Consider the following 14,687-nt stretch of genomic DNA (forward strand, 5'->3'; position numbering starts at 1 on the left):
GGTGATGAAAATGAACTTTGATTTTATTCTGAGCACAATGGGAAGTAAAGAATTTTCTTAAGAGATGCAAGGAAGTTCTCAACTACTCAATTTAGTTGTACAAACTGAGAATGAAAATGAGATGCATAGCAATTTGCGGCATTAGACTTATGACAGAAACAAAAATAATCTAGAATGTGTTACACTAGTGAAGTATCACTAACCTAAACCTTTGAAAGAATAGGAGAACAGAGCTACAATGGTAAATTGCAGACATGTTCTAAAAGTTTCTCAAACAGTTGGTACTAGACCAGATCAGTGGTACGAACTGTTAAATATGTCCAGTTCCCACAATCCCAAAGCTGGATAGGCCTACAGTTTTTTATGGTGATTTCAAGAGTACCCATTCTTTGCTATCTTCTCTCTTCTCTTTATCTGAAAACCGTGGAACTCCAGAATAGACTTGAAAATGTAGCAGAAATGGCCATTTTAAATATTTAACCCCGAGACACTAATAAGTTAGGCACAGGAGGTCTACATTGTTGGATTTGAGAAATTTTATGGAAATCTATTTGCCTAAATTCTCTCCTCTCAGGTGCCACATTGACTAAAATATTACCAGAAAAGATGCCACCTTTTAGGTAAGAATTTTTTTTCCTTCCCAAGAAAAGAGAAAATAAAGAAAAAAACAAATTACAGCAATCTATGATATAAACTTTTGAATTAATTACCGTTCTGAGTCAATTACACATAAAACAGTACTTAAACATTTACTTTCCAACATATTTTTATTGAGAAATTACTATGTGCTAATTACCATAATCAACAAGATAAAGGCTGTTCTTATGTCTTACATTAACAAGTAAAAAGATATATGTAAAAGACAATTTCAGAAATACATGTGATGATAACCAAGGGTAGCGTGATTAACCTGGATACCTGGTTACCTCAAAAAGAGAAGGGGTAATAAAAGTAGGCCTACGAGAGAGAGAGATAAGGAAAATTATGTCAATAATTAGTCTTCTGGTATGATATAGAAAGAAAAGAAACAGGTATTTTTTACATTATCCTTCTAAAGAAAATCTATCTTTCTAAAATACGAATTTCTCTTATCTTTAACTTCGGTAGAAGCAGTATAAACTATTTGTCTTGTTTTTTCATTTTTTCCTGTTACCTAGTTCTAACACAGAAGAGAAGCATAATTGCATTTTTTTAATTCAATACTTTGAATTAAATGTTTGAGAAACTTACATAAAATGTTAGAAAAATGGAGGAAAACATTATATAAATTCTTTTGTTAAAAGGAAATATTTGGATGCTTTCAAAATAAAGAAGTTTATCAACAATAGTACCAGCTGGGCAGAGAGGCTCATGCCTGTAATTCCAGCACTTTGAGAGGCCAAGGCAGGAGGATCACTTGAGTACAGGAATTCAAGACCAGTCTGAGCAATGTAGTGAGACCCCATCTCTAGAAAAAAATTAAAAATTAGCTGGGCATGGTGGCATATGCCTGTAAACCCAGCTACTTAGGAGGCTGAGGTGGGAGGACGGCTTGAGTCCAGGAGGTTGGAGCTGCAGTAAGTCATGATGGTGCCACTGCACTCCAGCCTGGGAAACAGAGCATGATCTTGTCTCAAGAAACAAACAAGCAAGCAAGCAAAAAACAGTAGTACTAGAAACATACTATAGTAAAAAAAACCAAAAAAAAAAAAAAACAAAAAAAACCTCGTTAATCTTGTGAGATGTAAACATGGTGTTTTTTTGTTTTGTTTTGTTTTGAGACAGAGTCTCACTCTGTCACCCAGGCTGGAGTGCAGTGGCGCAATCTGGGCTCACTGCAAGCTCCGCCTCCCGGGTTCATGCCATTCTCCTGCCTCAGCCTCCCGAGTAGCTGGGACTACAGGCACCCGACACCACACCCGGCTAATTTTTTGTATTTTTAGTAGAGACGGGGTTTCACCGTGTTAGCCAGGATGGTCTCGATCTCCTGACCTTGTGATCTGCCCACCTCGGCCTCCCAAAGTGCTGGGATTACAGGTGTAAGCCACCACGCCAGGCAACACGGTCTTATTTAATACACTTTTCTCATAAAAAGCTCACTTATATTTTAGAAATTATTTCAATAGCCTTCTAAAGTTAGAGAAGTAGCACTATTATTTTTATTAGTCATTTTACAATAGACATAGAGTTTTTGGTGGAATTTAAAATAAAGAAAGTATTCCAAACAATTATAACTAATTCATTTAATTACATATTTTTCATTACTTCCTATAACTGACAGTCTTATTTTATTTCACATGATACATTTACCTTGCCTTTTATAGAAAAAAAAGTTGAGAATGAAACTTCAAAATCTTTTTTTATTTATGCAAAGTGTAAGCTTGCTATAGATTTTTATACCCAAGTTTTCTCTCTGAGATAGTTAGACAAGATTTTATCATATTTATTTACCCTTTTCTAAGAACAGATGTTTTTGTTTATTTGCCTGTTTTTGTGATACAAGTCTAAAATTTTTGAGTACTCACTAAGCCCCGTTCTTATTAGAGAGAATATGTTTATATTACAACATATATAAATGACTGAACTGAATAAAATGTAAGCCAAAAAAATAAATTGTCTGATATCACATATTCCCTACCCCTAAATCTGCCTGAGATGTGAAGACATTGGTTGTTGAAACCAAATATGAGCAAGGAATATATCTGTTACATATATTTTAACCACCTCTGAAGCCAATCGAATGACCCCATTTTTTGCAAATTCTAACTTATTTCCCTTGGCTTATGTTTGGGTAGCATTTAGTTTCCATAACTTCTTGAACTGATAGGTCATATTTAAGCACCTTTCTCACTGAAATAAAAATATAAGACTGATTCACTTATAAATAATATTATAGCTGGCTGGGCTCAGTGGCTCATGCCTGTAATCCTAGCACTTTGGGAGGCTGAGGCAGGCAGATCACTTGAGGCCAGGAGTTCAAGACCAGCCTGGCCAACAAGTTGGAACCCCCATCTCTATTAAAAATACAAAAAATTAGCTGGGCATGATGGCATGCACCTGTAGTCCCAGCTACTCCGGAGGCTGAGGCACGAGAATCGCTTGAACCTGAGAGGCAGAGGTTGCACTGAGCCAAGATCACGGCACTGCACTCCAGCCTGGGTGACAGAGCGAGACTCTGTCTCCAAAGGGAAAAAAAAAATTAAAGCTATTAAATATGTAAAGTAGAGCTAAGCACCAAACAATGTGCAGGATAATGATTGTCTACAAGTATTTAAAGGTGTCAACATCACCAGGAAAGACAAATCATTTAACATAGAACAAGATTTTGGCAACATTAAACGACTAGCATAATATTGACAGGATGTGGACAATGAATAAGAATTCATGAAGCGGAACTACTTTTGGAAATTGAGTTGTAAATTTTCTTCCCCTAGTTAAAAGACATGATATGACACAAAAGTTTGTTCTGCAGGCAGAAGGGCCTGAGACAACTCTGTAAGTATTCACTAATAATTGCCCATGATTTGGCAACATGCCATTTATTTCCTTTATGATCCATGATCCTACTCAGTATTTTCATTCTCAATAGTTTGTAGATCCTCTGTATAGCCTTATGAGGTAGAAGAAGATCATGTCAAACAAAGCAGCCCTAAACCGTACAGTTGTCTAACTGGGAATGCACTTGGATACTAATTTTCCATCATCAATAGAGGAGGTTTAGCCACACCAAAAATGTTTGGCTCTCTCCCAACACCACAGTTTTGTAAAACTATGGTCAGGAATAGGACTTGGAACATCTTCAAATCTGCATACCTAAGGTACAAAACAGCAACTACATTTCTTATGAGTCTACAATGGCAAAATTCTTAGTTACCTTTTTTCTTTTTACTGTATTTTTATAGCAATCATTTTAATTATCTCAGAATTCCTTCTGCTAATAACAAATGAGAAAAACAGTTTGAATTTAAAACAAAATCTCATTATTTCAATAACGTGTAGCTCTATGGAGCAGTGCCTCTTACCATTCATTTTAGAGATGATATGGCGATAAGCTCACTCCCACAAGGTAATATTGATTCAACAATCTAGTAATCCCATAAGGACAAAAGAGCGTCCAAGTATTACTTGTTTTAAATGAGGTCATCCTGCTGGTGCTCTCTGCATCCTTTTCTCAGCTAATTATCTAAGGTGAAATTTATTCATACTTACCATGTATGCAAAGACTGTAGAGATAGGTGCATAAAGTGATTTGTCTTAGAGCTCTTGATTCTTCCCCCAAAAGTTAAAGACATTGTGTGGTTCTCTCCACTCTTGAATAAATATGAAAATAAAAATATATTGCTTAGTAGAGATAGCAAAAGCCCATATTATACACCTGTGCTCTTTAAGACCAACTGGGCAAATACAAATGGTATATAAAACCCGTGTAGAAATGAAGGTGAAATGAAAAGTGGTACCAGTTTCTAGGTTAAGAAACTGCCTCCCTCAACCCCACACCATAGCCCAATACCCACCAGAAAATTCTCTGCAGCTCTGTAATAGTTTTAGTTTAGGTCATTGATGAATAAAGTACAGACACCTAAAAATATTTAGAACAAGTTAGGTTTTTAAAAAGTCTCAAAAGTTGGAGTAAGTGATTTTTTTTTATTTTTAAAGTAATAATGTATAACTGTCTCATTTATCCATTTCACTTGAAACATGCTGATATGGACTTCAAAAAATGTTTTCAACCATGACAAAAATCTCAGTTCTATTACTCATGAATTTTTTATATTGCTTTCAATTGCATAATGCGAGAGGTTTGCAATTTTCTTAAACAAAAATGCAAATTTAAAATCTAAGTTTTTATTTTTTCCCCTTCTCACTCATTTAGGAAATAACTGTAAAATCCATTTCATCAAGATCTTCACAGGTATTCTATAAGAACAAACTGAAAATAAAGCCTATATGTGGCTGTGATGGTTTTGAAGATTTAATGGATATCAGGCCAGGAAAATTGTGATTGTTTGGGAGTACCTATAGCATTTCTCAGGAGCAGTCTCAAAACCAATTTGATAAATACATAAAAACCCATCTGAAAGAACTGACATAAAATCATTTTGGTATTTCATTAGTCAATGTTTATGAAAGGGCCATTGGTTGTGAGATTAGTAATAAATATTTTGCCATTACTTTCAAAGGCAAAAACAGCAGTTACTTTTGCACTGACCTAATACTATTAAGACTTATAAAGATTTAGCAAAAAATTTTGAAGAAAACCGAGATAGCTATCCTACCAATTATTTACAGTATTTTAGCATCTCAATCAGTGATCATTTCTTTTCTGAAAGTCCTTACAAATTCACCTGTATCTAAACACAATCAAGGTTTTAGTTGAAATGTCACTGCCTAGTGTCAAGTATTTTCTCCTGGGACTTTTTGGAGCAATGAGGTATAATCTATAAATTTCCACTGAGCACATGATTTCTGTCAGCTCCATAGAGTGCAGCCACATGACATATAAACTGCAGTGAGCAGAAATTTTTTCCTTGTGTCTTGCCTGACTTGTCTTTCCAGTTATTATTTTGGGAATTTCTGAGCCACCATTATCACTTGATACACTTAGACAACTTTTAAAAAGCAGTTATTTTTCTGAATAATATCATATGTGTCCATTTCATTTCAGTCTGCTTACAAATACCTTCTTGTAAAAAGTCACAGAATTCGAGGGCTTATAGCTCTCATAAGGTTGGGATGCACACACTTCCTCTGTTTGAGAACGTTTCCCCAGCTCCTACAGGCCTGCTGGCTTAGACACTTCTACTTTCCTTTTCTCACCCTAGCACCTGCCTGCTATATTTGAGATTGAAGCAATGTACATATTCTCAGGTCTATGGATATGTATGAATACTTCTTGCTTAGGCATTGACAGCCTTAAAATGGGATAACTTCTTAAATGGATTGCTATGAGTTGTCCGTTTACTCATAGAGCTGCAACTATTAATTTTAATTAACCTGTCTCTATATTTATGACCCCTCTGTAAAAATGTATTGTTTCTAGGGCTTATACTTCATCACATAAAAACAACTTTATGCAAACCAAAAGGAGCAAAATTCAAGATCAGAAATTGACTTAAGAGTAAAAAGAAAAAGGAGTAGAAAGAATATACCACAGATTAGAGAAGGAAAAAGAGCAGTATGTCAAGAGCAAGTGGAATGTGGCTGAAAAAATGGAAACGACAGACACTTCAGGGACAACTGGAAGGAGGAGCGTCATTGCATTTTGAATATAAATGAATCTCAGGTAATTTCTATAACCCAGAAATAAGCATCTGCTCCAAAAGGGGAAACTGGTAGTTTGTGTGAGCTAGCAAAATATTAAAAGGGCAGTTAATCTATTACCAAGAGTCTAGTAGAGCCCAGATCATATTCTATGAGATTTGTTGGCTAAATATGACAATATCCAAATGCGTTGACCATTATTGCAGACTGTAATAAGTCACAGCAGCAAAGGGACCAACTTCTCTCTAGTACCGTTCAACTAGAACTAAAAGAGAAAAGCAGGGTGATTACTCTGAGACTAACGAGGGTCAGATCAAGAAATTATTCATGCATTCTCTTGAGTGGAGGAAGGGAGAATTGGAAACAAAAGACGGCAATACATTCTGTGAATGGGAAAGAAGAATTCAAGATGACTCCTAGGTTTTCGGCTTGAGCTGCTGTGTGGATGCTACTACCATTTGCTGATATAAAGATAAAGTGGTAAAATCATGAGCTCCTTTGTGAACATTCTAAATGTGAAATGTTGAATAGATATTTATTGGAGATGTCAAGTAATATGACATCTACAGCTCTAAGTAGAGGTAAGTGAGACAGAGAGGTTTGCCAGTCATCAACAAATAGATTTAAAGTGGTGGGAATGGATGAGACCATAGAATCATTTAGTGAAAAGAGACATGGGCCCATTTCAGCATTTAAAGACAGGATATTAAACAAAGAGCCATTGAAGAAGAAACAAACATAGATGGAAAGAGAAGACCATGATGATATTATGAGAAGGCAAATGATGAAAATGTTGTTGTTGTTGTTTGTTTTTGACCAGGGGGCATTGATCAACTCTATCCAACAGTACTAAGACGTTGTTTATGATGAAGCATGACATGAAGATTGTTGCTGACCTAGATGCTTCAGTGGAGTTTTGAAGAGAGGAGCCAGATTCAAAAGAGGTAAAAAAATGCATTATAACATGGGATAATAAGGATAAAAATTTCATTTAAGAAATTTTATTGTAACAGTTGCAAAACAATGCAGCAATAGTCAGAGGTGGATATGGAGTAAAGGAATTTTTTTAAAGACAAACATATTAAAACAGAGCAGTAGGAATGTAATGAAAATATGTGGAAATACTATCCCGATATATTTGAGTTTATGAAATAAGTTTCAGCATCAGAAAATGTAAATTCAGCTGTAGCTAAACAAGAAATGGAAACTTCTTTCAACCTAGACCTGTCAGACTGTCATTCCTAAAAACTGGAAGTGGGATACTGAAATATCTAATAGAAATCTTTGTAAGGCCTGACTGTACATTCGACCCTTATGTTACAACCCTTGTAGTTTTTAAAATGTGTCTTTTTTTGTTTTAATGAATTTGAGTGGTTTTCTCTATAAAATGCAAAGATTACTAAGAACACTAAGTTAAACTAAGTTAAACTTTCCCAAAATCCTCAAAATTTATAAGATTTTACTAGATGAACCTGAAATAAAGAGACAAAAATACAACGTTCCCCAACATATTTGACCATAAGACATTGTTTGGAGAATATTTCAGGAAACTAACGATTATATGAAACAATTTGCAATATTATATATTTGTTGCTTCTGTCTCAAGTTACTTAATGTTTCATCTTCATATTTTGCTTCTGGCTTTGTTCCATTCTGGTGTAATGTCTGCATTCATCTTGTCACCTTCTACCTATGTCACCCGAATTCCATCTGTCAAACTTGTACTTTTTTCACTAATTTTTCCCCTGACTCCCTCTGAGACTTTGTGAGCCTTATTAAGATTTGCTATTTGAGATGAGAATGTCATTGTCTTGCATAAATCCTCTCATTTTTATGTTTGGGGAAATGTCTCCTCAAAATATGGTACTTAAACCAATTTTTAAAAATCTAGTTAAGGAAAATACTTATATTTTCTTTAATATATAACAGAAGAGAGATGACATAAAACACAACCTTCTAAATCAATACTGTCATTTTTAATTTTCTTGAAGGAGAGATATCACACATCTCCCTTTATAGAACCCCCACATGCTCAATTTTTTATATCTTTCAGAAGCTTGGAATGCTCAAACATGCAGTACATACAAACACTGATTTCTTTAAACCATGAGGTGGTATTTGCCTTTGTACTGCACAGTGACAAGTTTCCATTTTAATGATGTTTGAATTTAGCATAGGAATTGGATTCCCTTTTGAATCCACTACACATTCAAATTCCACCTGCTTATCTGTATCTCTTACTAAAGATTAAACTGTTAACCCTCACAATGAGGGAAAAACAATTAAGAACTTCCAAAAATGTACTGTTTAGTACTGATATTTATATCAAACACGTGTTGCAATGACTGGTGTTTTGCATTTCAAACCCTGGCTTATATACACTTCCGTGCATTTATAGCCTTATTCAAGGCAGAAACCATTTGCTTTTTACATAGCAATTAAAGCACAGAAAACATTCAGAATTTTGCTAAATGGCTTGCCTAGTTTATTATAGTTTACCTTGTCTTTTTGTGAGGAGAGCTATTATTTCTGCTCCAAGCTCTTGATCTCCGTGGGGAGTGGAAAAGAGCATCTGTTCTGGAACAGAGCTGAAAGTAAATCCCTAGGAATGGGGATGCGGAGTGAAAAAAATGGGAAGAGAACTCTGAGCACATCAGAAAGTCATAAAGAAAGCTCAGCACCATAATCAGCTTGCAGCTATCACAAAAGACTTCGAGAGGAAGCTCAAGCGGTTAGAAGTTAGTACACTCAGTTTTACAAAAACGAAAGAAGGGGTGAAGAAGGCAAAAACAAAAATACAGTAAATAAGAGAATCGAGTATGAGGTAGAAAATGGAGAGCGAAAAAGAAATTGAGAAAAGAGGAGAAAGGAAAGAAGAAATGGATGAGAAAGAACTGTAAGATTTTATAGTTGAGTCTCAGTATGAGACAACTGGGAAAAATGGTTACCCAGTAACAATCTTAATGGACATTTGGATTTTTCATGGCTAATATGACTGTGTGTATCTAGACTGGTTAACTGTCTAGGCCAGACTGAATCATTTTATGAGTATAAAACATCAGTGGTCCATCCAGGTTTGAGTGTTAAAGTGATAATTTACTTATTTTAGGGTAATAAGGAAATATTTTTACTTGTTTTACAGAACTATAAATCAGTGTATTAAAAGAAATATATACATATCTTTTTTTAATTTTATTATTATTATACTTTAAGTTTTAGGGTACATGTTGTGGGGTGGGGGGAGGGGGGAGGTATTGCATTAGGAGATATACCTAATGCTAAATGACGAGTTAATGGGTGCAGCACACCTACATGGCACGTGTATACATATGAAATATATACATATCTTGTAATTACATATAAATATATGCACATGTATATATGTATATACATACACACATGCACACACACACGTCACTGAAAGAGGAGCACCATATGCATGCAAGATTCTTTCCCCTTAAAAAAGGGTTAGCTACATTTAAAAATTGACATATATTTGTATACTTGGATTTTGATTCATACAATTCCTACATGAAATCTTTGAGGTTAATATTTGCTCCCTTCTTATCTAAAACAGACTGTTTTCACAATAGCTATGTAAGCCTTCCTTCACTAATACCCCATTCAGTAAGAAAGGGCTTATTTTGATTTCTATGAAACCATTTTGAAAGTATTGTAAAAGTTTCAAAATTAAAATGATTTCTTAATTTTAAAGATTATGCTTTATGAGGAATATAAAAGATTAGAATCAAAAGATAAGACTGACTTTGATCTTCAAAGCCAAGCTGTCTACTTGCTGCATGAGGCTTGCAGGAAAATATGAGCACGTTCTCAATATTTGCATGGTATGTAACTAGCCCTTAATAACCTTACAGGCTGCTGTTTATAACACAAATCAGGCTTTTGGATAAGTTGATTGATTGGAATTTAAATTCATGGCTTACATGTTTTTGTTTCAGGTAGTTGAATAAATGAACATCAGAAAAATATGGTAAAATCTAAAGTTTAAATTTAGAAAAAGAAACATTGTTTTTACTAGATGTGTTTATACCATTTGTATGATCTGCCCTTACACACAGATGCACACATACAAAATGTAATGACGATATTTCTAACCCATTTTTCTCTGCAAATAATGAGATTCACCTAACATTTATTTCCCAGTAGCTCTGCTCATCTGATCTAATTCCTCATTGACATAACCAGGACTCATTTAATTGCAAGAGCTAGAAACTCAATGCAAGGAATTCGAGCAAAATACAAAAATTTTGGCTCATAAAATTGGTACACAGTGAATTGGTATAAAAGAAATATCTGGTATCATCGACTTAATAAATACCAAGAGTGTGTGTGTGTGTGTGTCCCCATCTCTCTTTCTGTCTGTCTCATAGATGCCCACATCATGGATATTTTTTCTGCACAAAGTTTCATTTTCTTTTGTTGTTGATAGACTTTTCCCATATAAGGTAGATAGCGGCTCCCAGAGGCTGATTATTTGCACATAATTACAAGAATTTTCTCTATCCCTGCTCAGCCCCCTGCAAAAAATTCCTGATTAGTATTTTGATTGCACTACCTGGTTTATGTGCATGTGCCTTTTTCTGGACCAATCTCTGTGGCCATGAGCATGAGGTCCTCTGAGCTACTCATGAGCATGCACCCCTCTATTAGGTGCCTGGACTTGTAGCCGGAGCATTATTTACCTGCAAAAGGATGAGAAGTGAAAGTGAAAGAGAACAGACATGCCTTCCTGACTGCAGTCATCATTTCTCCTTTGAAACTGTATGTTTCCCCAACGTTTACAACCGCCATGTGATCAATTCAGAAAGAAATTATTATTGAAAAACAGCTATGAATCACCACAGACATTACTAACACAATAATAATAATAATAATAGCTATTTCTTATTTCAGGCAATTGCACAAGATATGTTCTTCTATTATCTCGTGTGATTTTCCTCAAAATATTATGAAATAGACTATTTCTGTTTTACATAATAGAAAACTCAAATTGAATGTGAATAGCTCAAACCATTTAACCAAAAGTTATAAAGTGTATTCAATTTTGGATTGTATGTAGAACAATCAAAACCTCAAATAGCAGACATGGTGATAGTATAGCATAAATTTTAGGCTTCTGCGGGCCTTAATCAGTACTGTCAATGTGATGGCATGTAAGACAACACCAAAAACTTAGCAATAATTATAATGTAGTCAACACTACATATAAGAATAAGACGTAGTTTCTGTATTGGTTAGGATTAGGTTCAATTGAATGTGACTGAATCTGTAACAATATCGACTAAGACACAGTCTTATTGTTTTTTCATGAAAATGAAATGTAGGGAGAGGGACACAGTCCTTATTGGAACCGTTACTTTATTATCGTTGGAGATCCATCCCTAGTGTTTTGCTTCATGTTCCAGCATGACTCTTCAATAGGCAGCTGTAACGTTCAAGCTATCAGAAAGACTGACAGTTACAGAGTGCAGAGCGAGGTGTGTCTCCCTCCATCTCAGATACATTCCAGATGTTGTGCATAGCACTTTTAGGCAGCACTTTATCATATTGCCACACCTAACTACAAGGGAAGCTTATAAATAGAGGCTTTGTTCCATTAGGTCATGTGCACAGCTAAAATTTGGGATTCCCTAAGAGAAGAAGAGGGAAATGGAGCAGGCAACTAGGAATCTCTGCCAAGAACTTTCATATACTTTCCTCTGCAAAGTGCCACTGATACCACTCTTGAAGCCCAACTATTATCGCCCTGGTCCTGTTCCTTTATATAGTTAGGGAGCAACATTCTCACCTATTATATTAAACATAAGATTTTACTTTGCAGTTTATAGAGTTACATTATGCTTTTTATTTATGAATTTAAGCAGTGTGTTCTCTCTAACTTCTCGTTAAAACCTGTTTAGCTCTCTACATACTGTCTCTCAAACCTTACTGCAAGAATATGTTCAACCATAGTAAAAAAACCAAAAACTTTACACTGTCGTAAATTGCATCAAAAAAAATGGCTGCAAGAGCATTTCTTGTTTTGTGTATTCTTCCAGAAAAGTGTCACTCCCTGAAGAGGGGATGTCTATTTCCCTTACCTTGAAGTTGGGAGGGTCTTTGTGACTATTTTGATGAACAGAATGAAGTAGAAGCAATGCTGAAGGTTTTCTGAAACTAAGTCACAAATGCTGAAAAAGCTTCCACCTGACTCTCTCTCTTTTGGAATGCTTGACCTTGGAACCTAGTAGCAATGTTGCAAGACAGTCGTGTGGAAAAACCATGAATAAGTCTTTTGACCACAGCCTTAGCTGCTTGAAATGTCCCAATTAACTGTATCAATCATCAGATTAGTAAATGAGTGAGACTTCTGATGATTATAAACTCCAGTTTTTGAGCTATCACAGCTGATACACACTGGAGTGGAGCAAAGTTGTCCCCACTGAGCTCTGCCCAAAGTACGTATGAGTAAGCAAAGTATATGTGTCATTGTTTTAAGCCATTAAGTTTTGGAGTGGTTAGTTATATGATACTTGGTAACCAATTAAGGACTAGTAGAATAGAAATATGTGGGGAGAAACTAATAGAATAGAAGTATCATCCAATCATCTCATTTTAATGGTGAGAAAACCCTGGGAGAATTCACAGCAAGTAAGTTACTTACAGCCATACAATTATGCAGCATAATATATCCACGAGTCACTCTCAGGCATTCTAATTCTTCCTATGCAGTTTGCTTTTTTTCCTCTATGATATCATATCTGAAATATTATTTGCAATTTTTCTATATCAAGATTTATACTTTTAGATGTGAACTATAACTCAGTAATTCTCAACCCCGAGTGTATGTTTGAATTACTTACTGGTCCTCTGGAATCAGAATTCTCTGCCCCATTACAGGCCTATTGAATGGAAATCTCTGGGCGTGGGTGTGTGTGCGGGGGGGCGGGGGGTGCACGCATGCAGACCCACACACCAATTCTACACCTAATTCTAAGGAGCAGACACTGTTGAGACTTCTTGGTATAGATCATATTCCTTGGCCGAATGTTTCTTTGTTTTTTGCTTTTTTGCCAATTCTTTTTCTTTTTGTAGCGATCAGGGCCTCACTGTATTGCCCAGGGAGGCCTTAAACTCCTAGGTCCAAACCACCCTCCTGCCTCTGCCTCCCCACATGTTGGGATTACAGGCTGGGATTACAGCTATGAGCCACCACAGAATGTTTCTTTGTAACAGAGAATCAACAGGTAGAAAATTTTCATATATTCAACTCTGGATCTGTCACTCCAAAGTCCTTAGACCCTATTGCTTTTATTTGCATAAAACAAAATGGAATATTAACAAACTGTGTTTGGCAGAAAATGAAAAGATACTTGTTATATGATATAATCCCTTTCTAAATTATATTTTGCTAAGAATCTTCTGTGCATTAGTCCTTCTCTGACTCAATTCAGTTCAACACATTAGCCAGGAACTATGCTTGGCAATGGGAATTCAAAAATGAAAACGATCTGCCAGCATAATTAGGAAGATTTTCAGAAAGCTGACATTCATTTTTGTGTGATAATGCCATAATAGTACACACAGGCTGCTATGGGACCACAGAACAAAGGCCATTATTCCAACATAAAGGCACTTGAAAAAAATCATATAGGAGACAACACCTGAGGTGACTCTTGAAGGTCAATCATAAATGTTATCTAGACAAAATAACATGTTATTTTAGGGCATGTAATTCAAGAAAAGGCTAGTATTACAGCAGGGGTCAGCAAACTTCATTCAGCCTATGGGCCAAATCTAGCCACTACCTATATTACAAATAAAGTTTTATTTGAACAGAGTCATGCCCCATTGTTACAACAGAGTTTAGTTGTCATAACAGAGACAGAATGGCCCACAAAGGTGAAGATATGTACTAGCTGTGCCTTCACAGAAAAAGTTTTCTGACCTCTGGTTTACAGAGAACAGTATCTTACATATTATCATATATTCAATAAATTACAAATGTTAAATATAAAAAATATAAAATTTAAAGGAGAAAAGGGAAGAGTTTTTGAGTATATAGTCATAGGTTGGAGACATGAAGGGCTGTTAGGGTAAGGTGCTTGTGGTTTGTTTTTGTGTCACAGAGACCAGATTAAGAGTTTTAAGGAGCAGAGGGACATGATCAGATTTAGCAAGATTTCCCTGGTGCGTTGTGGAGATATTAAACCCAAGATAGGATATAAGGAGCCTGTTAAAAAGTAAGGTATCTTAAGGACTTAAAGTAGGAGAGAGAGAAAACAGATGAACAGAAAAGGATCTATAGCAATCCTTTAGTAGGTAAAATCAGCATGACTTATTGAATCTCATCTGTCCTCATTTTAAAACATGTATGCGAATTATTGACACTCCTCCCTTCAAAAGGTGAAGCCTAATTACTCTTGCCTTAGTTGTAGGCCCAACCT

General features: G+C 35.5%; 1 long non-coding RNA gene across 1 annotated transcript; it reads right to left on the reverse strand.

The window, feature by feature from the left end:
• Nucleotides 1–751: 751 nt before the first annotated feature.
• Nucleotides 752–11,010, reverse strand: LINC02077 (long intergenic non-protein coding RNA 2077). Its single transcript, NR_146636.1, has 4 exons — nucleotides 10,817–11,010; nucleotides 8,740–8,842; nucleotides 4,189–4,289; nucleotides 752–957 (listed from the first exon to the last, which is right to left on the reverse strand). It is a non-coding gene; the product is annotated as a long intergenic non-protein coding RNA 2077 (long non-coding RNA).
• Between the last annotated feature and the right edge of the window lie 3,677 nt (nucleotides 11,011–14,687).

This window comes from Homo sapiens, chromosome 3 (assembly GCF_000001405.40).
Source record: "Homo sapiens chromosome 3, GRCh38.p14 Primary Assembly".
Classification (NCBI taxonomy): Eukaryota; Metazoa; Chordata; class Mammalia; order Primates; family Hominidae; genus Homo; species Homo sapiens.